At 45.7% G+C, this 27,639-nt stretch overlaps 2 protein-coding genes across 16 annotated transcripts in view, besides 4 other annotated features; one reads left to right on the plus strand and one right to left on the minus strand.

Moving 5' to 3' along the window:
* Window positions 1-6,179, plus strand: part of ATG7 (autophagy related 7) — a 303,957-nt gene extending 297,778 nt beyond the window's left edge. For both annotated transcript variants that reach the window (XR_007095622.1, XR_007095623.1), the window contains exon 20: window positions 3,748-6,179. The gene's annotated coding sequence lies outside the window, so the exon portion shown is untranslated. The remainder of the gene's footprint in view (window positions 1-3,747) is intronic.
* Window positions 1-27,639, minus strand: part of VGLL4 (vestigial like family member 4) — a 165,749-nt gene that overhangs the window by 14,108 nt on the left and 124,002 nt on the right. The window contains exon 1 of one of the 14 annotated variants that reach the window (NM_001128220.3): window positions 12,112-12,182. The exons of the other annotated variants lie outside the window; for them this stretch is intronic. Coding sequence (NP_001121692.1) covers window positions 12,112-12,125 — 14 coding nt within the window. The 5' untranslated portion in view covers window positions 12,126-12,182. Of the gene's footprint in view, window positions 1-12,111; window positions 12,183-27,639 lie in introns of those variants that run through there. 14 annotated transcript variants of the gene reach the window in all.
* Window positions 4,590-5,410: an enhancer, noted in NCBI's record as "H3K4me1 hESC enhancer chr3:11616238-11617058 (GRCh37/hg19 assembly coordinates)". NCBI's record gives its function as "activates a minimal SCP1, AML or CMV promoter by ChIP-STARR-seq in naive H9 embryonic stem cells {active_cell/tissue: H9 hESC(naive)}" and the evidence as "EXISTENCE:reporter gene assay evidence [ECO:0000049][PMID:30033119]".
* Window positions 13,245-14,083: an enhancer, noted in NCBI's record as "H3K27ac-H3K4me1 hESC enhancer chr3:11624893-11625731 (GRCh37/hg19 assembly coordinates)". NCBI's record gives its function as "activates a minimal SCP1, AML or CMV promoter by ChIP-STARR-seq in naive and primed H9 embryonic stem cells {active_cell/tissue: H9 hESC(naive and primed)}" and the evidence as "EXISTENCE:reporter gene assay evidence [ECO:0000049][PMID:30033119]".
* Window positions 23,043-23,574: an enhancer, noted in NCBI's record as "NANOG-H3K27ac-H3K4me1 hESC enhancer chr3:11634691-11635222 (GRCh37/hg19 assembly coordinates)". NCBI's record gives its function as "activates a minimal SCP1, AML or CMV promoter by ChIP-STARR-seq in naive H9 embryonic stem cells {active_cell/tissue: H9 hESC(naive)}" and the evidence as "EXISTENCE:reporter gene assay evidence [ECO:0000049][PMID:30033119]".
* Window positions 23,575-24,105: an enhancer, noted in NCBI's record as "NANOG-H3K27ac-H3K4me1 hESC enhancer chr3:11635223-11635753 (GRCh37/hg19 assembly coordinates)". NCBI's record gives its function as "activates a minimal SCP1, AML or CMV promoter by ChIP-STARR-seq in naive and primed H9 embryonic stem cells {active_cell/tissue: H9 hESC(naive and primed)}" and the evidence as "EXISTENCE:reporter gene assay evidence [ECO:0000049][PMID:30033119]".

Raw genomic sequence — 27,639 nt, forward strand, 5'->3', positions numbered from 1 at the left:
TGCTGCCCACCACAGACACCGGCCCTGTGGCATCAGCCGCTCAGGGTCGTCACACCAGGCCCACCAAGAGACTCTCCATCACCTCGCAGCTCCATCCCAAGCTGCCAGGAGGCCTTTCCGACCCACCAGCACCATTTCCACCCACCTTCCTGCCCCAACTGCAGAGACACAGGAAAGGAGCAGTGCGGAGATGCCGGCCACCAAGGTCTGTCCCCGGACAGTCCTGCCACGCTGGCTTTCTCAGTCAGTAAGCTTCTGAAGCACAGCTCCCAGGGGACCCCGGTCCCTGGCTGGACCGTGCACTCCCGGGAAGGCTGACACTGCAGCCCCCACGCCCTAATCTCCTTGGCTCCGCACGGGTGACCACATACCAGATGTTCTAATAACTGTCCATAGAGTAAATAAATCATTAAGGTACACATAGTATGTGTGAGTCCAGTTAACAGCGTTTGTGGCAAATGACAAGGGAGTTAAGGAGATTTCAGAGAAAATGACTGGTGGCAAAGACTTTTTTCTGAAAAAGCAAAATTTAAGGAACATTTAAATGTTGGGCATAAACAGTGGTGAGATGTCTTCTCCCTTTTAGTCCCTTCCTCCAACTTCTGTTGTCCTCCTCACCTCCTCCCTGCTTCTAAATGTCCCCGAGCTCATCCAAAGCACCCCACAACACACACACAGGAGTGAACTCATCACCGTGGCTTCTCTCCCCTTGTGAGTGGGAGAATTCACTGCTTCCCAGTGAGCAACAAGGTGCCTGGGTGTGTCCCCAAGACATCCTGGTCAAGCTGCGTCACTCCTCTGTGCCAATTTTAGACGGGAAGTGAGGGAAGTGGTTGCAAAGGAAGGCCTGGGTGAAGACGATGTTTGCCGAGGTGGCGGAGGCTGAGGCAGAGACACCCTCCTAAGTACAAATGGCAAGAAGTGTGTCGTGGGCAGGAAAAAGCTGGCAAAATACCGGCATTCGGACTGTCCCAAAGACAGAGATGACCCTGAGGCTCCTGGCTTCAATAGCGGGGTCCATCCTCGCTGGCAGGGACACAGGGCAGAGACTGTCTCTGCCTTCTATGCGTCAGCAACTACTGCCATAGCTTAACATTGCTTAATAATTGAAAAAAAGCCACCAAAAAGTCAAGGGAATGAAACCCGAGTGCGAATGCCGCCACAGCCAGCATCACTGCCACAACCATCCACCCACGTAATGTTTCCCCCATTAACTCTCCATAAAGGGGCCAGGTGCAGTGACTCACGCCTGTAATCCCAGCACTTTGGGAGGCCAACGTAGGTGGACTGCTTAGGCCCAGGAGTTCGAGACCAGCCTGGGCAACATGGCAAAACCCCGTCTCTACAAAAAATACAAAAATTAGCTGGGCATGGTAGCGCCTGTAATCCCAGCTACTCAGGAGGATGGCTGGAGCCCAGTAAGTTAAGGCTACAGTGAGCCATGACAGAGCCACTGCACTCCAGCCTGGGCAACAGGGTAAGACCCTGTCTCAGGAAATAAAAATAAAATACTCCCCACAAAGGTAGTGTCCCTCTTTTTGCTGGTTCAGATTTCAGAAATCAACTCCATGGACCCGGCAACACAGGACTCATTTGCTCCATCTATTGCGAGACAGCTGTGGCTTGCGGTCCCAGCGTGAGAAGCCTATTGGCCGGGCACAGTGGCTCACACCTGTAATCTCATCACTTTGGGAGGCCGAGGCCGGCAGATGGCTTTAGCCTAGGAATTCAAGACCAGCCTGGGAAACATGGCAAAACCCTGTCTCTACTAAAAATACAAAAATTATCTGGGCGTGGTGTCACGTACCTGCAGCCCCAGCTACTCTGGAGGCTGAGGTGGGAGGATCACCTGAGCCCAGGAGATGGAGGTTGCAGTGAGCTGAGATCTGCACCACTGTATTCCAGCCTGAGTGACAGAGTGAGACCCTGTCTCAAAAAAAAAGTTGGGGAATCTCTGAGTAAGTGATTGACGTTGAGTATCTTTATTATCATCAGCTCTCATTTATTGAAGGACATGCCCAATCATATGCTAGACCTCATCTTAGTAAATTCACTGCCCCACTGCAAAATAAGCATCATCTCCATTTTACAAATAAGTAAACTGAGCTTGAGAGAGGCTAAGTAACTTTTCTAAGTTTACAAAACTAGTACAACGATTCCAATATATATTGGACTGGCTCCAAAGCCTTTCCATTTTCCGGGAGGGAGGAAAATACAAAGACTCGTGTACCTACCACTCAGAACTAGCAAATGAAAATGTGCTCTCATATTTGCTTCGGGCCTTTTCTTTCCTCTGGCCATGATGAAAGCAGCAGAACATGCAGACGCATGAGGTCCCTGCTCCAGGCCCTCCTCAGTCCCATTCCCCTCTCTTCGTCCCCTGGGGCATCCTCTGTTTTGTATTTGGTGCCTCCTGCTACCTGACTGTCGTCCTCTTGCCACACGTGGATGTGTCCGGAAGCACACATCCGTCGCATGCTTCACACTCCAGCATGCCAGCACACTGTATGTCTTGTTGTACAACCGTGTCTTTCCCTCATGTTGGTCTTGGAGCTCTACCCATGTTCCAACACAGAGACCTGGCTTATCCATGTTATTTGCCTGCTCTGTGGTATTCTTCCATACGAATACACCACTGCATATGTACCCGTTCCTTTATGGACCGGCGCCTGGGCACTCTTTGGTTTTTCCTTCTGAAAATGACCCCCGTAGGCCAGGCGCAGTGGCTCACACCTGTAATTCCAGCACTTTGGGAGGCCGAGACAGGTGGATCACCTGAGGTCAGGAGTTTGAGACCGGCCTGACCAACATGGCGAATCCCCCTCTACTAAAAATACAAAAATTAGCTGGGCTTGGTGGTGGGCGCCTGTAATCCCAGCTACTCCAGAGGCTGAGGGAGGAGAATCGGCTGAACCCGGGAGGCGGAGGTTGCAGTGAGCCAAGATCGAGCCATTGCACTCCAACCTGGGTGACAGGGCAAGACTCCGTCTCAAGAAAGAAAGACAGACAGACAGACAGAAAGAAAGAAAAGAAGAGAGAGAGAGAAAGACAGACAGAAAGAAAAGAAATAGAGAAAGAAAGAAAGAAAGAAAGAAAGAAAGAAAGAAAGAAAGAAAGAAAGAAAGAAAGAAAGGAAGGAAGGAAGAAAGAAAGAAAGAAAGAAAGAAAGAAAGAAAGAAAGAAAGAAAGAAAGAAAGAAAGAAAGAAAGAAAGAAAGAAAGAAAATGGCCCCATAGTGCTTAAGTCCTCAGACATGTGTCCTGGTGCTGGGGACAGGGCTTCTGACATTCTCTCAGGTCAGTATTTGCAGGTCATCCACCTTCGACTTCAACACATGTGACCAGAAACCTTCCCAAGGCAGCCATCCACTTTGCTGTCCCTCCGACGGCCATGGCTGACCACTGCTGCTGCTGTGTATCCTCGGTGACATCTGGCCTTGGCAGCCTATGGATTTCTGCCATTCTCCTGGCATGAAATCACTCCTTCTTGTTGTTTTAATTTGCATTTCTTCAGTTACCAGCGCAGTTGAGCATCTTTTCATACACTTACTGACCATTCTACTTTATGCTGTGAACTGCCTTTAATTTCTGTAATGGGTTGAACTGTGTCCCCCTGAAAAGACATTGAAGTCCTAACCCCCTAGGTTCTCTGAATGTGAGCTTATCTGAAATAGGGTCTTTACCGAAGACCAAGTAAGCTGTGGTTATGAGGGCGTGCTCTAATCCAATGTGACTGGTGTCCTATTAGAAAACACTGGAAATCTGGATACAGTGACAGACACATACGGAGGGAAGAAGATGTGAAGACAGAGAGAAGACCGTCATCAACAAGCCATGGAATGCCAGAGGCCACCAGCAGCTGAGAGAAAGGCCTGCACAGACGCTCCCCACAGCCCTCAGAAGCAGCCAGCCCTGCTGACACCTTGATCTCAGGCACCAGGAACGGTGAGACAATACGTTTTTCTTACCCTAAGCCACCCCATCTGTGGCCCTGTGTTATGGCAGCCCTAGGAAACGAACACAATTCCCTAGGCCGTACCCACCCGCTGCCTTGCTTTACACGGCTTTAGATATTTGCCACACCCATGTTTCTTCTGCTTTATCTATGATCAACCTAAAAGTTTTTAAAGCTTCCTCTGGACATTTAAAGAGAGGTCCTGAGATCCACTGGGCCTCGGTCACCTGTCCTGTATGCCTGTCATCCTGAGGCACTGCACGAGCACCGCACAATGACAGTCCAAACAGAGACCAGAGCTGGGCAGGCCAAGTCAGCCCAGACCTGCCAGTAAGAAGCTGAGAGTTCCAGAGGCTGGGAAGGGTAGGGAGAAGGTAGGGGCTGGAGAGATTTGCTAAAGGATACAAAATTACAGCCAGGTAGGAAGAGTAAGTTCCAGCACTATGGTCACCTAGACCACTGTAGGGTGACTGCAGTTAACAATAATACACTACACAGTTTCAAACAACATCCATATATTGGATGTTCCCAGCACAAAGAAACGATTAATGTTTGATGGAGGCTAACCACCCTGAGCTCATCACTCTACATGACACATGTCGAAACTTCACTATGTACCCCATGAATATGTACAATTACTGTCAATTCAACTATATATGTGTGTGTGTGTGTGTGTGTGTGTGTGTGTGTGTGTGTGTGTGTGTGTGTGTATTTTAAAAGCTGGAGGGCTAGCTGCCCCCAAATATGGTTCAGGAAGCCAGGAAAAAGAGCCCCATCTTATGCGCCTACATACAAAAGGGAAGAAGCTTGTCGGCCGAGTTACCATCCAAAACCCTTTTGGCTTGGTAGTGTTTGGGGAGGATGAAAGAATAAAGCCGCAGATCTTTTCATTACTCCTGCATCTCCTCCTCTCTCTTCTTCAACGCTCGTGCCAACCCCCCATTCCCACTTTACACCGAGGAAAAGTGGATTGAGAGGTGGAGGGATCTGCCTGGGGCCATGTGGCTGGCAGGTGGCAGAGTAGGGACTTGGGTCCTTGCTCCCCTGCTGCCAATGCCCGGAGGGTTTCAAAAGCAGCTCAGGTCTGTGGTGCGAGAGGGAAGGCGGCCGCACTGAGTGCTGTCAGAGCAAACGGGCGTCCATTCTGCTGCTCTCCTGTCAGTGTGGACTCTGTCTCTCTAACTGCGCCAAGGGTTTCCAGTCACTGTGCTCTCAAGAGTGACAGTCATTAAATCAGCATAGCCAGCATCTCCACATGCTCCAGCCTTCGAGTTTCTTTTGACTCCCTCCAGCAGCTCAGCTGGAATGTGCATCGTGTGTGAGTCTGCCCCTCTCTCTCCTTGAGACTGGAAGGAGCTCCGAGGGCAAAGTGGGTCCCTCCTTTCCTTGGGCACAATCGGTCCTCAGATCTGTGCAAGGGACGGAAGACACTTGGGAAACCTGGCGGATCCGGAACCACAGTGTGCACTTACCCAGCGGCAGCCGCTTAAAGAAAGATCCCAGACACCAGCCTTAGGAGAGAAACTCTAAGTGATTTTAGTTAGAGACCTGTCGGAAACGCTGCTGCTGGAAGTCTCCATCTTTCCATTCTCCCTATGGTGGCCCAAAAAGCCAGGTGGCTGGTTTGGCTAGAATGAGGCGTAAAGTCAGAGCAAACAGGTTCTGAGTGAGTCTGGGGCCAACCCCTGCAACTTTCCCATATCCAATTCCAGCATTCAGAGACCCTCTTTGCTTGGCAATGTGTGCAGGCTTTCCAGACCCGTTGCCTCTAGAGAGGCGGGACTCACGGAAATGCTGGCCAGCAGCGCGGAGCCCGTCCAGGTTGCCCAGATCCTCAGGTCACGTTTCTGAATAGCTCAACTCTATGTAAATAAGGTACCAGTTTTCTTTAACCAGAACTGTCTACATGTGTTTTCCATTATTAGCTTTAGTTTTTTAAGAAAAACTGATGTTTGAGAAACAGGTCATGGCTGAGAACATGACCGGTAAAGCATCTCACCTGCCCCCACGTTAGCAACTGTTGCCAGGGAAGTAGTTGTGAGAGCACAGCCAGCAGTGGATGCCCACCTGCGGCCATGACCCCCAGAACTTAATTCAGATGGGGCAGGAATCCATGTGCATGCTAAGCACTGTTTACAGGCAAAACAGATGTGTCCCACATTAGAGTTTTCAAATGAATGGAGATGTTGCTGAGATTAATAAAATTGAAAAGAATTTAAAATTCCTACTGCTAATTTGTAGTTGTTTTTGTCATTATGTAATCTCTCAAGGAATATGTTAAAAATACAACCACTATCATATTTTTGACATTAAATAGAGTCCTTGTATCACAGAAGGGATGAAAAACACTCTATCTTTCCTTCCTCACTGAGCTGCAGTGTCTGAGGTGGACAAAACCCTGGGAGACACGGCGATCTCTGCACAGCAGCAGAGGCATCAGCATGTCGGCATCCTGCCTTGCCATCCTCCGGGGACTACTTGAGACAGCTGAGGCGAGGACTAGAGGGAGGGGTGAAGAAAAGGCATTTGACCACTAAGACCATCCAGTGCTAGTCAACCCAGACGTCCTGTTCTCCCTGCTGCTTCACTCCACCCCACACCCTCAATCTGACTCTGAGCTCCGCTGGAAAGGCCTTTCCTGTGCTGGAAAAGTGGAGGGCAGGACCCACTGCCTCCGATGCCCGCCTCAGGAAGGCAGAGGGTGGAGAGAGAGCCCATCCACCAACTCAAGACTAGGAGAGAAGACACATTCCCTCTAGACACCCCTGGAGGGAAACGGGAACAGTGTCTGCTCGGTAGGCTGCTCAGAAGTGTCTGCAAGTCACTGTCTAGAACAGGGCCTGGCACACAACTATTTTATGAATGAGCCAACCGAAAACTAAACAAATTCTCAGGAGAAACCAGCAGCAACAGGTTAGAGTCAGACAGAGGAGCTCATGAAGCTGGGTGACCCAGGGCTGGGCCATCCATGGCCCTGGGGCTCCTGGGGAAACCCAAGGAGAACAGCCCTGGCCAGCGCCAACCCCCTAGAAACGAGTGGTCTGAGGAGACCTTCTGCCATTCCCTCTCTCGTTCTTGCGACTGGCACTGTCATCTTTCAAAATTTCAAATTCTTTTGAAGGCTCACTCTTAGTTTTTACTCCATATTATGCAGCAAATTGCTGGAAAATATTATAAAACTGTTTAGTGGCCAGGTGTGGTGGCTCACGCCTGTAATCTCAACTTTGGGAGGCTGAGGCGGGCAGATCACTTGAGGCCAGGAGTTCAAGACCAGCCTGGCATGGTGAAACCCCGTCTTTACAAAAAATACAAAAATTAGCCAAGTGTGGTGGTGCATGCCTGTAGTCCCAGCTACTCGGGAGGCTGAGGCAAGAGAATCGCTGGAACGTGGGAGGCAGAGGCTGCAGTGAGCCGAGATCATGCCACTGCACTCCAGTCTGAACAACAGAGCAAGACCCCACCCCCCAAAAAAACTGTACACTGGAAAGATTGGATGCTTTGTCCAACTCAGGAGAACACTTCACACTAAAATGGTTTTAACAGGAGAGAGATGTGGAATCCCAGCCTCCCTCAAGGAGCACCACACAGCTGCTGCTTAAACACTATCCAGACAGCTGCCTACCTCCTTCCTAAAGGTTCTCCCTCCTAATGAATGAACTCTGCCTTCAAATACAATTCTTTGGTCCCAGGTCTGCCCTTTGGAAAAATTCAATGAATCTTATTTCCTCGTCCAACTACTGAAAAGGACTTCTATGTCAACCTTGCCATGCCCAGAATTCTCCTTCAAATTACTCTGACACAAGACTCCTTATCCAACCTGTCACCCACAGGGCACATGCCACAAGTGAACATTCATATTTAAGAGGGTCACACTCCAGAAGCAGCCTAAGGAAATAGGGCACACAGGCAAGGACTCACTCCCTTCCATTTATCGTAGCACGTTTCTGAACGAAACACCAGCGTAGACAGTCTAATAAAAACTAACCTAAAGCATCAGGATTATTCCAAGACCTGCAGTCACCAGTACTATCCTTTCATCAAAACAACCCAAGATGCCAGTAGGCACTTCCACACCCATGTTGCACAGTGTGGTCACATAAAAGTCTCCAATCCTTTTCTTCCCATTATTTCAGCTTTGTGACCCCATACTGGCTAAAGACCAGACATGAATGAGTGCGTGCAGGCATATGAGAGACAAATAATCAGACTTCCTTTCTGCGTCACGTGGTGTGTGGCAGTCTCCTCCTCCCCACACACCGGAGCATGGTCACAACTGCCTGAATGCCAGCCGCCTTCCCATGGTCCAGCCCTAAGGTTGGTAGGAACCAGTTCGAAATTATTTTGTGGACTTCTCCGTACTACAGGAAGACCTCTGGTTCAATAAATTTATTCAGCACTAAATAAAAATATCAAACCTGATTTTCCTCTTAAAGTTACCGATCTACCCTGACTGAACTCAGAAACTCTGCAAAAAAAAAAAAAGTAATAATAATAAATAAATAAACCCCAAAACTATTGAGCTAAATTATTATACACCCATTGAAAATTTGAGTATTGAGTATACGAAGTGATTAAATGCTCATCTAGTAAGAGATTTTGAGGCATCTACTGTATATTTTCTTTTTTTTTTTTTTTTTTTGAGATGGAGTCTCGCTCTGTCACCCAGGCTGGAGTGCAGTGGCGTGATCTCTGCTCATCGCAAGCTCCACCTCCCAGGTTCACGCCATTCTCCTGCCTCAGCCTCCCAAGTAGCTGGGACTACAAGCGCCCGCCACCACGCCCGGCTAATTTTTGTATTTTTAGTAGAGACGGGGTTTCATCGTGTTAGCCAGGATGGTCTCAATTTCCTGACCTCATGATCCGCCCGCCTCAGCCTCCCAAAGTGCTGGGATTACAGGCGTGAGCCACTGCACCTGGCCTCTACTGTATATTCTTTAAAGTACTAATAGACCGTAAGGACCTTCCTCCTGAGAGCCAATCATGTAGTGTGTTAATTCTCAACATGAACTGCCTCTGAGCATCCAGGTAGTCAGGGCTACGCTCCATCTTTCCAAAACTAGGGGGAAAGGGTTGGCCAAGCTAACTTTCTAAAAAAAAAAAAAAAAACCAGACTGCTTTACAGAAACAAGATTTACATTACTTAAAGAAAAAATTATTTTGAGGACCTCCAGGTACTTAGCAAGGCTACTGCTTTACTGACAATGGACACCCTAATGACAAATAAAGCAGAGTTCCCACGGGAAAAAAACAGTACTGAGAGCCTATTTCATTGATCTGAGTTATAAAACTGCATTTCTTTTAAAATAGTCTCATTTTCAAATTCTGCAAAAACTTCAGAACTAAGCTATCTCTGGAGCTTCACTGTAACATCACTCACATCTAGATGCAACCCCCTGGCTATAAAATCATATTTCACCCAGAAGTGTTCGTCTGTGGAGTGTGCAGTGTGGAAGACTGAAAAGAACGTGGGGGGAGTTCAATCATTCCATTCAACACTGAAGTGGCATCTCTTCCCCCAAACTCGTGAGTTGATGATTCAAATAATGCCTCCAGAGAATTCAGAAGCACCCTCCCCCCCAAGTTTCATGCACCCCAAGTTTCATGCACCTTTCCTTTGTACGAGGGCTTCCAAACCAGATGGTAATGGTGACTCTTCACTACTCTTTGAATTAAATTAAAATTACCACCCCCGGTGGTCATCACGCATCACATCTGTCGATTATTAGGCACCAAATACTGTATTCCTGGAGCTCGGTCTGCCCTCCAAGCTGCCTGACTCTCCTTCACAGCCTCAGTCACCCCAGATGAGTATGGAATATAAAGGATTCACACACAATGGACTCATTAATGTTTATTCAGTTGACCTGAAGTTGGTCATCACAGTTTTTCATATTTTTTTTACTATGGTAAAGTACTACATACATAAAATTCACCACTTTTCAGTGACAATAAGTACACTGGTATGTTGTGCCGCCAACCGCACCATCCGTCTCCAGAACTTTTTCCTCTTCCCAAACTCTGCACTCATTAAACACCAACCTCCCATTTCCTCCTTCTTGCAGCCGCTGGAACTACCATTCTACCTTCTAGGACTTTCACTACTCTAGGAACCTCATGTCAGTGGAATCATACAACATTTGTCTTTCCATGACTGGCTTACACAAGGTGCATCTGTGTGGTAGCATGGGTCCGAATCTCCTTCCTTTTTAAGGCTGAGTAATATTCCATTGTGTGTACAGACCACATTTGGTTTTTCCATTCATCCGGTGATGAGCACTTGGGTTGTTTCCAACTTTTGGCTATTGTGAATAATGCTGCTATGAACATGGGTGTGCAAGTATCCGTTCAAGTCTCTGCTTTCAGTTATTTCGTGTGTATACCTATAAGCAGAATTGCTGCATCATATGATAATTCTGTTTAATGTTCAACACATCATTGGTAGTAAAGGAGGTGGGAAGTATAGGATGCATTTTTCATTTAACGTTTGGCCCTCTCTACTAGAGAAAAATTAAAGGTTTCCAAAAGGATGGATCTTGTCCACAACAATAACTGAAATTGTAAGCCTTTGTGAAAACAGCCCAAGTGGTTCATGAGAGAAATGAATGTTCATCAATAATGTAAACACTGGACATAAAAGTTAAATCAACAAAGAATATTCACCACCCAGCTCACTAAATCCAGCAAACTTGGGCACACAAGGGGCCCACTGGAGTCAATGATGTTGTAATCAACAGTGAGCATTTCGGAGACTTATAAGCTACATATTTGTGGTTCTCATTTCTCACTGTGAACCTTTAAAAATTGTTTCAAGTCATCGGAGGATGGCTAATGTTAACAGCAATACATATTGACCATTTGTATAACATTGGTGTACAGTGTTACAAAGTGCTTTGCATATACATTATGTTAACAGATCCTCTTCAATCTGCAACTCCTTTTTTTTTTTTTTTAAAAAAAAAGATAACTCTTTCTCTGTCGCCCTGGCTGGCATGCAGTGGCACGATCTCAGCTCACTGCAACCTCTGCCTCCTGGGTTCAAGTGATTCTCCTGCCTCAGCCTCCCAAGTAGTTAGGATTACAGGCATGCACCACCACGCCTAGCTAATTTTTATATTTTTAGTAGAGACGGGGTTTCACCATGTTGATCAGGCTGGCCTCAAACTCCTGACCTCAGGTGATCTGCCTGCCTCGGCCTCCTGAAGTTCTGAGATTACAGACGTGAGCCACCGTGCCCAGCCATGCAACTTCTCTTTAATGGCCAGAAAGTGCATTTCTCGAATGATGAAACTAAAACCCGGAGGGTCCTCATCTGTGCAGGCAGGTGAGCATACCTAGACACCCGGCCCTCAAGCAGTCACTTACTCCACTCTCCATTTTCAACCCAGCTTCATTCGGAACAAGGAGGGGACAAAAGGGTGGGAGGAGAGGCTGCTCTGTGGAATGACCGTACAAGTTACTGAGAGATGAAACAAAAGCATTCATTTTCTATTAAATGTGAAAGATCTCTCAATCTCTAATTGGTCCTGCACTCTAAGGCAACTTAGCAGGGACTCAAGTACAATTTCCATGGAGAGAAGTGGTCAAATAGCTGAGGTCAAACCCTCCAGACTCCAACTGCAGCCAAGTGCTTTTATTTCCCTTGTAATTTTCTTTAAGAATAAATGTTAAACCTAAAACATACCCCCTTTTGGAGGCGATCTTGGCAGCTGGACTGAGTGGGAAGAAAAAGCACCTTGTACTCCCCGAATCAGCAGCCAAACTATGCACCATTGTCTAGAGGCGGTCACATGACAGCCATCACCTGAAACTTGGTTACTTCCAATCCATGAAGGAAACAATCACTAGTGTGCCTTAACCCTTCCAGCTACTGCAGGCAGCCATGCTGCAGCTGCTCTCAGCAGCCCTCTCTCCCATTCCAGTCCCCGCTTAGGAGAAACTGTGCATGGCACAAATCTGATTGGGACAAGGTGGCGTTTGGGGAGAAGGGAGGGACGAGAAGGAAAATCACTGCTGTCCCTTCTAAGCAAAGACTACTCTACCTCTCCCAGCACTTGCTGTCTCGCAGTTTAAATTAATTACAGCTGAAAATACAGGGTTGCCATCTGGTTTGAAAAAGCAAGGATAAGGGAATAAAATGAAAGGGTTCTTGGTACTAACCTCACTTTAATCATTGCCAAAGAGCATGAAGACAGCCCAGCGTCCTCCCACAAGAAAGCCTTGGGCCTCACAAACTTGGCAAGCAGTCTCAGGCACAAAACTGGATGGGCGGGCGCTTGTCAGAATAAAAGTCCTCCCTGAAAGGAGGGTTGCGAGGTAAGGGGCCTGCTTGCCCCCTGCACTGCAATAAAAGTTTCCTATGGGTCCTGGGGTAGGTCAGGAACTCCTGGGAGGGTTTATTTATAGAGGGTGCCTTGCCAAAACGCTACACGCATCATTACAGTTCCATTTGGTGAGAAAATAGATTTGCTGTCAGAATTACAGCACGCGATTTCCTCTTTCTTTGTTTCTCCATCTTCCATAACATAAGGCTTTTATAAAACTTCAAAATAAGGCTAAAGAAAACACAGGAGAGGAAGGTTGCTGCAGAAGTGGAGACGCTCCGAAGGCACGATGCATGCAACTCCACAGCAGGGCTGCAGCCGGCCCCTCAGAGAAGGAATGCCAGAAATCCCCTATTCTCTGCTGCAGCCGCAACTACAGTCTCACTCCTGCACTGTAGGAAGCAACTTCCTTCTGCCTCCCTTCCACCAGCAGAACCCTAGGTGAGAGGCTTTTCTCTTAGGACTCAGGCTGCCACAGATGGTGACTCCAGGCACTGGAGAAGCAAAGGTGCCACAGCCATCCTAGGTTTGTCTTGGTGAACTTACAGGTGGGTGCAAGAAGTTGCTAAGTCTGCAGATGTCTTAGCCATACGCCAGCATCAAGTAGCCCGGAGAAGTGAAGCAGAAGATTTTCAGCCCAATTTAAATTTCCACCTGCCCACTACCTGAGTTCTTTTACACCCAGGTCAGTTTTGCAAACAAGACCCTGATATACCCAAGCCCAGCTGCTTTCAGAAAGTAACACCAATTGAAGCACCACGGTATTTATCAGAGTAAACTCTGATCAACCAGATATAGTATTTTATAAACCAGAGGTTCTAATTATAAAAGACAAGATAAAAGCAGATTATGAAAATAGCATTTCTGTTCTGGTGAAAAACACATCTTCAACCCCAAAATGATGTGAAAATTGTCTTCCAAATCCTGCCCTGACAGAATCACTGTCTATAGCAACAGTGTCCATAACATTCCAAATCTCAGGAGTGTAACTTTCTAGTAAATGGTACATCTGTCAAGCCACAGGAAACATCTGGTAAAATGGTTAAATAAAAGCAGAATTTAAACTTTTCTGATTTCAGAGCTTACTAATGGTACTCAACAAGAGACTATCAAATACTCTAAAAGCTCAATGTGACAGTGAAAAATATCCTGGAGGGGACCAGGTGAGAAAAAGAGGACAAAAAAAGAAGACAACCCGGGAAGGAGTGGGCTGCAATCCCACTCTCGTCACGATGACGATGCTCCCATTCCAGGCCTGCCTCTGGGAGACAGTGGCCATAGCCCCCTCAGCTCCGCCAAGGATGGGCACATTCCTGCCCATCACCATGGCAGAAACCTTCTCTGGCCTAGTTAAGTTCCTCTCTACCCAGGGCTGACTCCCCCAAGCATACTCATATCTCCCCAACGCACCCAACCCAGGAGGCCCTCAGGAGAGGTTTGGGGGGATGGACTGACGAAGTGATGACACACAAACAATAAGCTTCCCTCCGCTCCACGGCAGACATGTGTATTAAACACATACAATCATTCTACCATCAAGACACACCCAGGCCAGGTGTTACACAATACATTTCAGTCCCTTCCAGAACATTTTACGAGGCTTTTCCATTAAATAAAAGATTTAATGATTTGGCCACATCCAAATTTTAAAAATCTATATTTCAAAAATACAGTAAATAATGCTGAAAAGCAAATAACATTACTTATTTTCCCCAACGCATTTGACAGAGCATCCTTAATATGAAGAGTCGTAACATATCAAGAGAAAGAAGATGAATACTCTAATTTACAAAAAAGACAAGGTATAAACAACATCATGGTCACAGAAGAAGAAATGCAAACGGCCAATAAGGATATGAAAACATCATTCAAGTTCTCTAGTAGCAGAAAACAAACAAACAAACAAAAAAACACACAATAACAATGTTTCTCCCCGAGAAACTTGCAAATATTATATAAATGAATAAATGGTAGCAGTCACCTGTGGGAAGATGCCGAGAGAGAGACAGATGCATACAGCTGCTGGTGGGAACAGATCAGTAAACCATATAGAGTGAAGCTGGCAGAACACACCAGCGAAAACAGACATGGAAGACCTCTGACCCAGAAATTCCACTTCTATAAAAGTGGGAATATATGAGATGGGAGGAAGGATGGAGATATTCGAAGTTCTGCAAATGACAGTAAAACAATGTAAACAACCCAAATATCTGTATTTGTTAAAAAGTTCTTTTGGTTACAAGCAACATAAAACAAACCTAGTTTAAGGAAAAAGGGGCAACTTACTGGAAAGATACTGTGATATTTCTTGGAAATGAAAAAATGCTGACCAACCAATCCTTGAAAAGAGAAAAAAAAAAAAAATGAGGTGGCCCCAGGGATCTGGGCTTCAGGAGGCGGAAGGCGCCCATGGTGGGTCCATGTGCAGCATCTCACCAGAGCCTGCCTTCTGCCCTCTCCCAGCACCCAGGGATCCACCACCACCACCACCACCACCACCGGCTCCAAGTGTCACAACTTGGTGACCTTCCTAGGTCCTATGTACATATCATCCTCCAATCACTGCTCCATTAAGGAGTTATTAACATCAAGTCAAAATCCCAAGAACACTTTTTATTATACATCAAATATGCTGCTAAAAACTAGAACATGCCCCAACACACACTTAAATGCTACCAGTTTTCACAGTCAAGAGACTTCACTGGGCTGGACACAGTGGCTCATGCCTGTTATCCTAGCACTTTGGGAGGCCGAGGCGGGCAGATCACTTGAGGTCAGGAGTTCGACACCACCCTGGCCAACATGGTGAAACCCAGTCTCTATTAAAAATACAAAAATTAGCCTCATGTGGTGGCGCATGCCTGTAGTCCCAGCTACTTAGGAGGCTGAGGCAGAACTGCTTGAACCTAGGAGGCAGAGGTTGCAGTGCACCGAGATTGCGCCACTGCACTCCAGCCTGGGTGGCAGATTGAGATTCCATCTTAAAAAAAAAAAAAAGAGAGAGAGAGAGGGAGAGAGACTTCAATGGAGCCTTGAATGAATTATTTATAAGTAAAAAATTGAGGGATCTCCCAAGAGAGAAATCTATTATGGTCTTGTTTCAGATTTGTAGGTTTAAGGAGAAAAAGGGACAGGGGAATGTTCCACCTCTGCCATGAATAAGATACTGGATTTTTTAAAAAAGTAAAACTGCTGGAATTGTTGGCTAGACAGAGATGAGCCTTTGGGGCAGGAAATCAAATATTATGAAAAGGTGATTTATCTTAGAGCAGGCATGAGGTGTTTAATTTATTCCATGTATCTCGCCATCTTGCATTCCAAATCTTCTGCCTCCTCCAACAGCTCTCTTGCTTCCCTTGTCCTCTTTCTGAATGCACACTTCCCACCACAGAGGAACCACACATATCCTAAATCCCTCCTTTATCATATACAACGTCACCCCTCCCAGTGCTGATGGACAGGCGACCCCCTGCCGTTGGTCCCTGGGTGTTTCAAAGAGAGGCCCTGAGGAGCTGACACTCCAGAGCAGTCTCTGGGTCCCCTCTTCCCATGAAAGCCCCCAACCCTTCCCCCTGCAAAGTGGGACAACTCCTAGATTAAAGATTGCTAGAAAATACAATGACTAAGTGTAGTGTGATTCATTACTGAATCTTGAATTAAAAAGAATGTAAAAGAATTTTTTAAAAAATCTTAAAGTATAAAGGGCATTACTGAATATGAAAAGATGATGTGAGATCATATCATTGTCTGCACACATATGAAAGAAAGATAAAGCAAATACGGGCAAATGTTAACAACCGATGAATGCAGGGAAGGGTATGTGAGTGTTCACTGTGCTAGTCCTTCAGCATTTCTGTAGGTCTGAACTTTCTCCAAAATAAAAAGTATCTATGGTGAGGAAACGGTGCAGGAAGGATAGAAAGAGGAGATTATCACCAAATTTGGCTGGAATATGTAGAATGATGTGATTTAAAGCACAGGTAATATGGTATACACTGCCCTCCATATCCTCAAGTTCTGCATCCACAGATTCAACCGATCATGGATGGAAAATGGAGTCAGGCCTCTGATGGTACAGACTTTTTTCTTGCTTAGGAATAATAATTCCCTAAACAATACAGTATAACAACCATTTCCACAGCATTTACATTGTATTAGGTATAAGTAAGCTAGAGGTGACTTAAGTATACGAGAGGATTTCCATAGGTTATCTGCAAATATTATGCCATTTTACACGAGGGACTTGAGCATCCTTAGATTTCTGTATCCTCGAGGGTCTTGGAACCAATCTCCCAAGGATATCCAGGGACGGCTGTATATGACAATCGCTTTGTCGGGAGCCCTCAAATAATCTTCCCCAAGAGTTGGCACAGGGATACCAGGAGGAGCCTGCGTGATGGAGAGAGGCCTGACATGCATGAAAAGATGCCACTGGCAACAAATATGTTAGTTTCAAATATTAGCCTCAAAATGAAAGTCACAAGGGAAGTTGGAGAATCCAAACTGCTTGCCCTGAATTGCACGAGACCTGCTTCTCACACAGACAACAAACTCTGTGTAGCTTGCCGAAAGTCGAGAAATAATAGCAGGGATTTAAATAAATTATTTTGAAATTAAACCATGGCTAGTGGCCAAAGAGACTTTCAAGGCAAGGCCAAGGAGGCCATCTTCTGAGTAATAATACTGGGAGAGGGAGTTTGGGAGCAGATCACAAAGTCCTTGATGGTCATCCTAAAGGAACTGTGTCTTATTTCACAGTCCAAAGGGGGCCAGAGCCACAATCCAGTGATAAACTCAGCAAAGTCCTCCAATGAGGTTCTAGAGGAATCCCTGCCGATGAAGGAGCTGCATGGCTCAGGCGCCTTTCAGCAATGCCTCCCCTACCAAGCGTAGCCATGGTAGACAGTCAGCTTCTAGGTGACATGGAGTGTCTGTGTTTCTATCACTGGACGTAACTTGCTCAAAAGCCAACGGCCTAAGACAAAATGATGTGGTGTCATTCAAAACCAACACACAGAGGATGACAGCTATTAGTGATACAAGCACAAATCTGTCACACAAAAATAAAATAAACGCAACAACAATCTACTAGAAAACAGCCGAAAAACACTTTGGCTTTGAGGACTTTTTGGAAAAATTTGAAAAATACCAGAACTGGTACATACTTGGGCCGAGATGTGTTTGCTTTTCTAGCAGAGTATGAGCAAATCTGCACTTTGGGTCAATTTCCACCCAAAAGAAATGTCTGGTCATCTCTCTGCCCTGTGAGACTCAACCCAAATGCACTGAATTCCTCACTTTCATATACCTCACTTTATGTTCACACTTGGACTGGAGCCAGATGCATAAGCAAGAAATACAGAGGAGTGAAAAAAATCATTTCATCCACACAAGAAACCTGGGGGGCTTCTTACTGAGAGTCAACACCGGGATGAGATCACGTGCCGTGAAAGAAGCATCACGGGCAGGGCTGGTGCTACCGACTGAACCTCGCGCATGTGTGCGTTTTCGTTTTCTGTTTTCAAGAGCTTAGCAGGGAAAGGAGAGCGGTGGCGCTCTGTTCTGGCACATGTGGAAGTAAACATCAAGGCTCTAAGGGAGAAAATGGAAGTATACTAAGTGGTGCCACTCAGGGTTTATGTGGGCTTAAAAGTGATTCTTAACATCTGTCCCAAAGGGAAGAGTGTTTCCACAGAGCTCTCCTCGTGGCTCCTTTTTCATTCACACATTTACTCAGCACCTGGTTGGTGTCAGGCACTGGGAGGGTATAGTGCTACAGACCTGAGCAAATTCAGCCCCTGGTCTGGTGGAACTTGTAGACCAGGGAAGGGGACAGACAGCTGGACACCCAACTGTAGCAGAGTGTCATCGTTTTACACAAAGTAGTATTCACCTTGAAGCAGGAGGAAGTGCCACTTGCCAGAGGAGGTGGCTTTCAGAACCACACTGGAGGATGAAGTGAGTGTGCAGGCCCCCAGTTGGGCTGCAGCCCAGGGGGTCCTACAGGCAGACGCCCATGGAGATGGGCCTTGGCAGTGTCACCCTGTGGTGGACTGGGAGCCGTGGAAGGATTCCAAGCAGAGATGAATACTTCAGAAACCACCTTCTGACACTCGAGCACCAGTAAGACCAGCCAGGAGGGCACTGCCGTGCAAACAGGGGGCTAAACTACAGCCCCAGCCAGGGCCTACTGGGAAGTTAGCAGGCTGATCCACAGGCAATGACAGGAGGAAGGAGGAGGCAACGTCCCAGACAAATGGAAAGAGAGTTGTATCAGTCATGAATAGGGGGACAGAAGGCAAGGAGTAGACTTGGTGAAGTGCTGGAAGAACAATGGAGCAGCTGATGGCAATTCCAGTGAGGCGGTGCTGAATTTAGGGCACACATACAACACCCAGTGAGAGGGTGGATCTATGGGGTGTGAAGGCTTGGTCTAGGCTAGAGGTAAAGATGTGGGACTCAACCTATTGTGGCAAGTCCAGCCACGGGTTCATGTGTGACTTGGTTATAAGGGTCTGTGCAGGCAGAATGCCAGAGCCCTGGAGAATACCAATAACAACGAGTCTCTGGAAGATCCTGAGGAGTGGCCACAGAGGTGGGAGGGGACCACAGAAAGCCAGAAAAGGGCCACAGGAAGCAGGGGAGGAGAGCCCTTCAGGGAAGAGGAAATCAAATAAGACAAGGGACTGCACTCTTTCCTGAACCTGGCAACCAGTAGGTCACTCCTGAATGCAGGGAGAGGATTCAACAGAATTGTTGGTATGGATAACAGCACTGGACTAGGGAGTGGATATAAAAGAACAGGTGATCTCTCTAGAAATAGCTATGGAGGCGGGGAGAGGTAGGGATGGAAGATAAGCAGGCACAGGGTCAAAGGAGGACAGAACCTCAAGTTTCCTCAATTTCTCTGGCCTCAGTGAATTTCTCTGAAAGCCCCAAGCATTAAAGATGGCACCCAGCAGCCCCAAGTCACGGAATTAAACACCATTTCATGTTCATACTTAAACTTTACAGCACCAGAGCCTTGCAAGTCTGAAGGTTTGTGATAAGAGAATTTTGGAACCAAATAAAATGCTCCTTTTGTTAGGCAATATTTATGGGGCAAGTATGCTCCAAGGAATATTAAAAATAGGTCTTATGAAAAGGGGATGAAGGATTCTGTCTTAGCTTGAGCTGCCATAACAAAATACTGTGGACTTCGTGACTTAAACAGACGTTTGTTTTCTCACAGTCCTGAAGGCTGGCAGTCTGAGATTCGGACGCCAGCATGGTTGGTGACTGGTGAGGGCGCTTTTCCCGGCCTAGAGACAGCCGCCTTCTTGCTGTGTCCTTATGTGGTGGGGAGAAAGCAAGCAAGATCGCTGTTTCTTCTTATAAGGGCACTAATCCTAACAGACCAGAGCCTGCCCTCATGACCTCATGAAACCCTCATCACCTCCCAAAGGCTTCATCTCTAAAGAGCATCACATCGGGGGTTGAGGCTTCCACACGAGAATTTTGAGGGGACACCACTCAGTCCATAACAGATTCAATGGCCAATTCCATTTGAGAAACTCGGCTAAACAGTGTTTCTGCGCATAAGACTTCTCAAAGCCTGAAAGGTGCTAACATGCAGGAGCAGACCTGGGAGACTGAGTTTGGGACCACCGAACTTTGACCAGGGAACACTTCCGTTTCCCTTAGAGCATCTTGAGAGAAGAGTGTTTTGAGACAGTCTGAGCAGTGGCGAGGGGTGTCACTCCAGTTGTCAGATGCAGCTGAGGAAATGACTCCTAACAAGCTAGAAAACTCATAACCATCCCTAGTTGGGTTCAATGACATGGAAATTTAGGGATGCAGCAAGATTTCAGTTCTCAGATGTGCTTCTACATTGACCTGACGTAATAGGAGTTGGTTTGTCCTTTCTACTTGGCCTTGACCCAGTTTCTGGAGCTTGTTTCTATGTAGATTCATTAGCTGCATTATTCTTAGGTCTCTTCAAGAAGAAAGGCAAGAGGTAGTATAAGAAGTTGGAGGAGAGGGCAGTAGCAACAGTTGCTTCCTTCTATTCTGCAGTATGTGTTGCCTCTGCTGGGGCTGGAAGGCTCGGATCCAGAACTCAGATCCCTTGTCTGGCACAGTTTCTAGCTACTGCCAGACCCAGAACATTACTGCAACATTAAGCCCTCTAATTATGTTTTGGAGACAATCTGTGAAGAAATTTCAAAATGAAGAGTGTGTGTGTGTGTGTGTGTGTGTGTGTGTGTGTGTGTGTGTGTGTGTTTTAACCCATAGAAACAGCAAAATGGAGAGAGAGCAAGACCTGCCATTTAACTAAAAACTACACCAGATACAGAATGTGGAGCTTGTAAACCACCTTGCTATGTTCCAGCTGCCATGTGACACAAGCAAATAATTGCTTTATCAGCAAGAAATTAGAGGAAAATAAAAGAACCATCAATAGCCACACCTAGCCAAATTTGTTAGCATTTCTCTTCCCAGTCTTCAATCAAATCTATTAATGTAGATTTGGGACAGCACTTCATATACATTCAGGACAAACTGGTTTTGTGTCACAGTAAGAGGTCTATGAAGGTCACAGGCAATGTCGAGGTTAATCCTCTAGCTACGGATAAAAAGAGCTGCTACATATGTGCCCAGAGCAGAAGCATCTTCGCGAAGACAGCATTCCAAAAAGCACACTCAGAGGATCAGGAAAACAGCAGAATCCTGGGTTGTTTTGTTTCCTTACATTTTGAATACACTTGCATCATGTTAAAAGGTGACTCTGCACAGACCAATGCACATTCTGTCACATACCCCAAACGTCCTCTAATAGGCGTTCCTCTTTGAGAAAAAAGTCCTTTCAAGGTTTTCGTCCCACTTTTATAAACTTCATGGCACAGATCAGAACCACAGAGGCTAAAGCCTAAGTCCCCAGTGCAGCCTGGAACAGCCTTTGTTCTGCTTCTCTGACTCCTGTCCCCCCTTGGCATTTCTTCATTCTGTGTCGTCGTTTGGCCAGAAAAAATGCCAGCAGCAAGATGGGGAACTGCCTTCCCAGCTCTCTGCGAAGACTCTTAAGGCAGAAGCGAGGCCTGCTGGGAGAAGGCTGATGTCAGCTCTTAAGAGCACAGCTCCCTGCTCGGATAAGGAGGCCTTTGTTTTCAGCTCAACTGTGAAAATGAGAAAATGCCTCTAGCCTGACAAACAAGAAACCCACACAACACAGGTCAGGCCTGTGACCTTTACTTAAAGGTACCACACTCCATTAGCAAAACACTTCCAGGGAATCTGCAGATCCAAGAGTGGCCCTCAGAGAAGAGCAGCTCTGCTTCCACCTCAGGAAGGCAGGTTACAACCCTGAAGCAAACCTCACAGAGAATCAGTTCCTCGGTGACGATCCTCCCTAATGGGAATGGAAACACACACAACTGACATACATGGGGCAAAGTGGGGGGATGCTAAAGAAACTAAAAATCCCGATGTAACAACAATATTGCAGTTTCCACATTAGTAATTTAGGACAACTACATTTATGACCATAAAATATCCTCTTAAATCCCCAGAATGCCTTTGGGAATACTTGTAAGATACAGTATGAAAGTAAAGAATATAGAATTTCAGCACTGACCCTACCAAGTTTAGACTATGCCAAGGAGGCGTGGCAGAAAGAAAGAGCAGATAGTTTGAAGGATTCCATTCCATAGGCTTTGATTTATGAAATCTAGAGGGAAAAAAAACACATGTCTTCAAATACTTAAAGTAAATTATAAAATGCTCCAGTTTGAATCTTTTAGGCTAAGGTTACTATTGGCTTGGGCCACTAACTTAAAATTGGGCCACAGATTTTAAACAAGAATTAAAACAATCTAAAAAGCAGCTTCCCAAGCGTAAAGAAAACCCTTGTTTGTTCCTGTGGGATTCTCACCTGTACAAAGACTCATTTCAGGCCTCTTGGGGGCAGCTGGACAGCACTCCCCCTTCCACAATCCCTGAGGGAACCCTGGTGAGGCTGTGGGGACCTGGAGTGTGCCGAACTACTAACGTCCCGGGGCCTCCACCCCTTTACTTCCCTCCATCCTCCTTTGTGTGTGCTAAAATGAACAGTCCCCACCTCCCAAATATCCTCAGTAGTGTGTGGTTTGAGAGTGCTTAGGCTGCATCGTCCCAAACTATCAGGCATTAGGGTCCAGTATCGAATGATTCATCGCAGTTGGATATGTGTGCTATTAGCATAAATATCCCATGGTGGCTGACAGCACTGGCTCTAGGATCACACAGCCTGAGTTTTGAATCCTGGCTCTGGTACTTACCAGAGTGTGTGACCCTGAACAAGTTACAGAACTCTCAGTGTTACCATCTGTAAAGGAGGGATAACGATAGTCTCCACCTCATAGAACTGTGAGGATAAAACGATCGTGCCCATGAAGCACGCAGCACAGTGCCAGCGCACAAGGGCTCACGAGTTGCTGTTACTAACAAGCCCTGGAAAAAAGCCCTCCCAATTCTCTGGATGCTGAGAATCAGGACCTATCATCATTCTCCATGATGAAAAGTTCACCTCTCTCTAAAGCTTGTGTAGACATGAACACAATAACTTGTTTTGCCTATAAATACACATTACTGTTTACGACGTCCCAGCTGCTAGCAGGGTCAAGGGACTAAAATAACCTCAGCTTTTCCATTTCCTCTGGGTTCACTTTTAACCTGAAATGAGGAATTGCTTCCTTCACTCTCATGGAATTTGTGAAATAGTCTCTTGGTAACTGGTCCATATACATCCAAACTAAAGGCTCTAAAGACATAGAAGCAACAGCTGCCAAAGAGGGTATGATCATGTTGCCAAAGATTTTACATCCAGATACCAAAAACTACAGATACTGCAGAACATTTGAGGTCTCATATATATAATCAACTCTTCTGCAAAAGATAAAGAAAATCCAGGGAAAACCCCCAATCCCATTTTAGCCAATCATCAATTTCTTCTTCTTACTGAGTTCCTATTATATGCCCAGCACCTGATTTCAAAGGCTTCCTCCAACCTTTTGTTAAGCTGAATGAATTCGTGGTTTTGAGTTTGTTTTTCCCTCTTTTTCTATTCACCCCTATGGTGAGAAAAGTGAAGTGACAGGGCCAGGAAAAAACAAAACAAAACAAAACACCAGATGAACAATGAAGGATGAAAGGACAATGCAAGCAAAGGAAGAGGGAGGGAAGAGGAGGAAGAGGAGCTGCAACAGGAACCGGAGAGCCCAAGCCTGGAATACACACTCAAGGGCACACCAGAATCGGGACATCGGGCTCCAGCAAACACTTCAAAGGAAGCGTCATAGAAGCAAAGACAACAAGGGGCCCATCTCACACCAGGACCGTGTTTCAAAGGCCCCCCATCAGCGAGGGGAGGCTGCGTTTTCTTTCACTGGGCCCTTCCTCGTTCATTATGGGTTGCTCAGTGGGTCTGTGGCAAACACAGCTGGATGGAGCACAAGGCTAGTGACCATGGCTTTGATCCCAGTGTGAGCCTAGGGGCTCTGCCCTATTCTGTGGCCGGGGGCAAATACACTGTAAATATATACTGCTGATCAAAGAGAGGATGCCTGCTCCAACGGGAACGTGGGCTCAAACAGCACTTCCCCTAGAGACAGGGTCCAATTCAAGTCAACATAAAATTATTTAGCACCTAACACATGCCAGACATTGGACTGGTCAAGTGTCATCTTAAATACATGATGTGCACCTCTAAAGCTGCATGTAATTCCCCAGGTGGGATGTAGCTATGGCATCATCAAATGATCACTGGTGTTGGTGTCACACACAGCAGGGTTAATCCCAGCTGCCAACAACTTAGACACATCATCCTCTCACAAACTCAATTTTTGCTTTTATAAAATCAATCTGATATAGACAAAAAGACAGAGATAGACAGATAGATGTAGAAATGTGCCTACCTAGTGTAAAGGGTCACAATTATTGTGAGAGTTAAATGAGATAATATATTTCAAGTGTCCAACACACGGCCAGTCTGAAGTAAGCACTCAATAAATGTTCCCTTCCTCACAGGTGACACATCCCACTCTAAGTCTACACACACACAGGTGACAACCTCTTCATTTCAGCACAGAGCCCTCTCAAGGTTCTACCCACGAAGCAGCCTAGAATGACTCTCACAACCGATATGAATTTACCATACTGTTACACTGCACCCACTGTTTGCCTTCAAGAGTTTTAATTCTATTACAAATACACAAGATATTAAAATGCACGAGGTCATCCATTGCAGCACTGTTAGTATTGTAAAGCACCTGAAATTGCCAAAATGTCCAAACACAGGGGACTGGTTGGATGAGCTTTGATGCATGCAGGTAATAGAGTGCCACGCAGCTGAAATCCAGAGTGAGGAGCTGGTAGGAAAAGATTTCCATGATGTGTCATTGAAAAACACGAAGGCGGCCAGGCACGGTGGCTCACGCCAGTAATCCCAGCACTTTGGGAGGCCGAGGCGGGCGGATCACCTGAGATCGGGAGTTCAAGACCAGCCTGACCAACATGGAGAAACCCCATCTCTACTAAAAATACAAAATTAGCCGGGCATGGTGGCGCATGCCTATAATCCTAGCTACTCGGGAGGCTGAGGCAGGAGAATCGCTGGAACCCAGGAGGTGGAGGTTGTGGTGAGCCGAGATTGCCTCATTGCACTCCAGCCTGGGCAACAAGAGTGAAACTCCATCTCAAACAAACAAACAAACAAACAAAATAAGAAAACACCAAGGCTGAAGTGAGTACACACAGTAGGCTATCGCACATGTAAGAAAGAAGGGGAAATGCAGAGAAATGCAAATCAAAACCACAATGAGATACCATCTCACACCAGTTAGAATGGCAATCATTAAAAAGTCAGGAAACAACAGGTGCTGGAGAGGATGTGGAGAAATAGGAACACTTTTACACTGTTGGTGGGACTGTAAACTAGTTCAACCACTGTGGAAGTCAGTGTGGTGATTCCTCAGGGATCTAGAACTAGAAATACCATTTGACCCAGCCATCCCATTACTGGGTATATACCCAAAGGACTATAAATCATGCTGCTATAAAGACACATGCACACGTATGTTTATTGCAGCACTATTCACAATAGCAAAGACTTGGAACCAACCCAAATGTCCAACAATGATAGACTGGATTAAGAAAATGTGGCACATATACATCATGGAATACTATGCAGCCATAAAAAATGATGAGTTTATGTCCTTTGTAGGGACATGGATGAAATTGGAAATCATCATTCCCAGTAAACTATCACAAGGACAAAAAACCAAACACCGCATGTTCTCACTCATAGGTGGGAATTGAACAATGAGAACACATGGACACAGGAAGGGGAACATCACACTCTGGGGACTGTTGTGGTGTGGGGGGGGCGGGGAATAGCATTAGGAGATATACCTAATGCTAAATGACAAGTTAATGGGTGCAGCACACCATCATGGCACATGTATACACATGTAACTAACCTGCACATTGTGCACATGTACCCTAAAACTTAAAGTATAATAATAATAAAATAAGATAAAATAAAAAAAAAGAAAGAAGGGGAAATGATAAAACATTCACATATTTGCTTGATTTACCAAAACAGAAACACAAGAAGGATGCTTTGCTTCCAGGGAAGGGAGTAAAAGGTGTGAACAAGACAGGGTAGGGAGTAACATTAAAAGCACACTTTTTAGTACAGTTTTAACTTTGGGGAGCATGTTCATATCTTACATACTCAAAAAATAAAATTTGAAAGGATGGAAAAAGTCTAAAACTGAATGCAAACAGAAATGAATGAACCTAACAATATATTTCAAATAATACAACAATACTGAGGAGAAAAGGGAAAGTAACTCTTCAAATTCATCCTGTGACTATTATACCCTCAGCATGGGAGAAGGAAAAACCATAAACAAATCCTGAACTCTTTTTAGTTTGTTTTTCAAAGTGGTATTGGCACCATGCTTCTGAAACTACCTGAAGTGCACTGCAGGAGTGGACCATGAGTACATGTGTGGATGTAGTTCTTACTGGTGAACCAGGGAGATAGAGTATGGAACGGGGAGGGCGAGGAGGAGCTCGGGAGAGTTGGGTTAGCCCTGGAGCATCGCCAGGAACTCATTATCTCCTAGCTCTTTCCATGGAAAGGATCTAGAAACAGCACTGTTCAATAGAACTTCTTGTGATGATAGAAATGTTCTGTATCTGTGCTGTCCGATATGGTAGCGAACGGCCACATGTGGCTACTAAGCTTGAAATGTGACTCCTGCAGCTGAGGAACTAGATTTTTAATTTTAATTTAAAATCAACACCTGTGGCTGGTGTCTGCTGTACTATTAGACAAATCAAGTCTAGAAGCAATGTGATCATAGTAACAATAAGTTACCATGAAAAACTATGTAATCCATAGTAACGATAACACCTAGCACCTGGATCTGGGCTTCTAAATCCTATTCCCCACTAAAAGGATCTGGAGTCCCCTGGAAAAACGGCTAATTCCATGGCTGGAGCAGGTAGGCTACAAGATGAGCCTAGAACAACTTGTAGGCCAGAAAATAAGAAAGTGCTCAACAACCACAAGGAAATAATGGAGGTTATGACAAGGACATAGGACCAGTGGACAGGGTTCTTGTTTGTCAACTCTGGGACAGCTACAATTCATTCAGTAAGACAGGAACCCCGGAGTCCATATGGATAATAAGTAGATAAATAGGCAGGCAGGCAGGAGAAAGGGGAAGAGCTCTTTCTTACCAGATTGCACTTGAATATCAAGGGCCATTAAAAAAAAAACTTACTGATTTTTCCACAAGATGAATCCCACTCCACCTCTTCCCATCCTTTAATCCACTCTTTCCAAACACAGAGTACTTTTCAACTTCCAAACAGACATTCATCTTCTTAAGACTTTTCTTAAGAAATAAACAGAAATAATGTATTTCTCAGGGTCACCGTATTGGAACCAACCCAACAGTGTCATGGATAGGTTAATGGATAAATGCAGAAATTGACCTTTCTAGTCTTAAAACTTAAAACTTACATTTGTTTTATCTGAGGTCTTTAAGAAAAGACCTTCAGTCCTCTCAAAAACAAAAAACAAGTGTCAAAGAACTGAAGCCCACCAGGTAACTACATCCAGACAAAGAGATGTGGGACCGTCCTTCATCATGATTGTGTCCTTGCTCCTCCCAAGTTCCTATTTGTTAAATCTTGTTTCATTTCTTCCCTGCTATATAAACCCCAGCTTTAGTCCATCAGGGAGATGGATTTGCCCCATCTCCTGGACTGTAGCACCCAATGAAAGCCTTCTTCCTTGGCAATACTCCTCATCCCAGTCATTGGCTTTCTGTGT

The sequence above is a fragment of the Homo sapiens genome, chromosome 3, assembly GCF_000001405.40.
Source record: "Homo sapiens chromosome 3, GRCh38.p14 Primary Assembly".
NCBI lineage: Eukaryota > Metazoa > Chordata > Mammalia > Primates > Hominidae > Homo > Homo sapiens.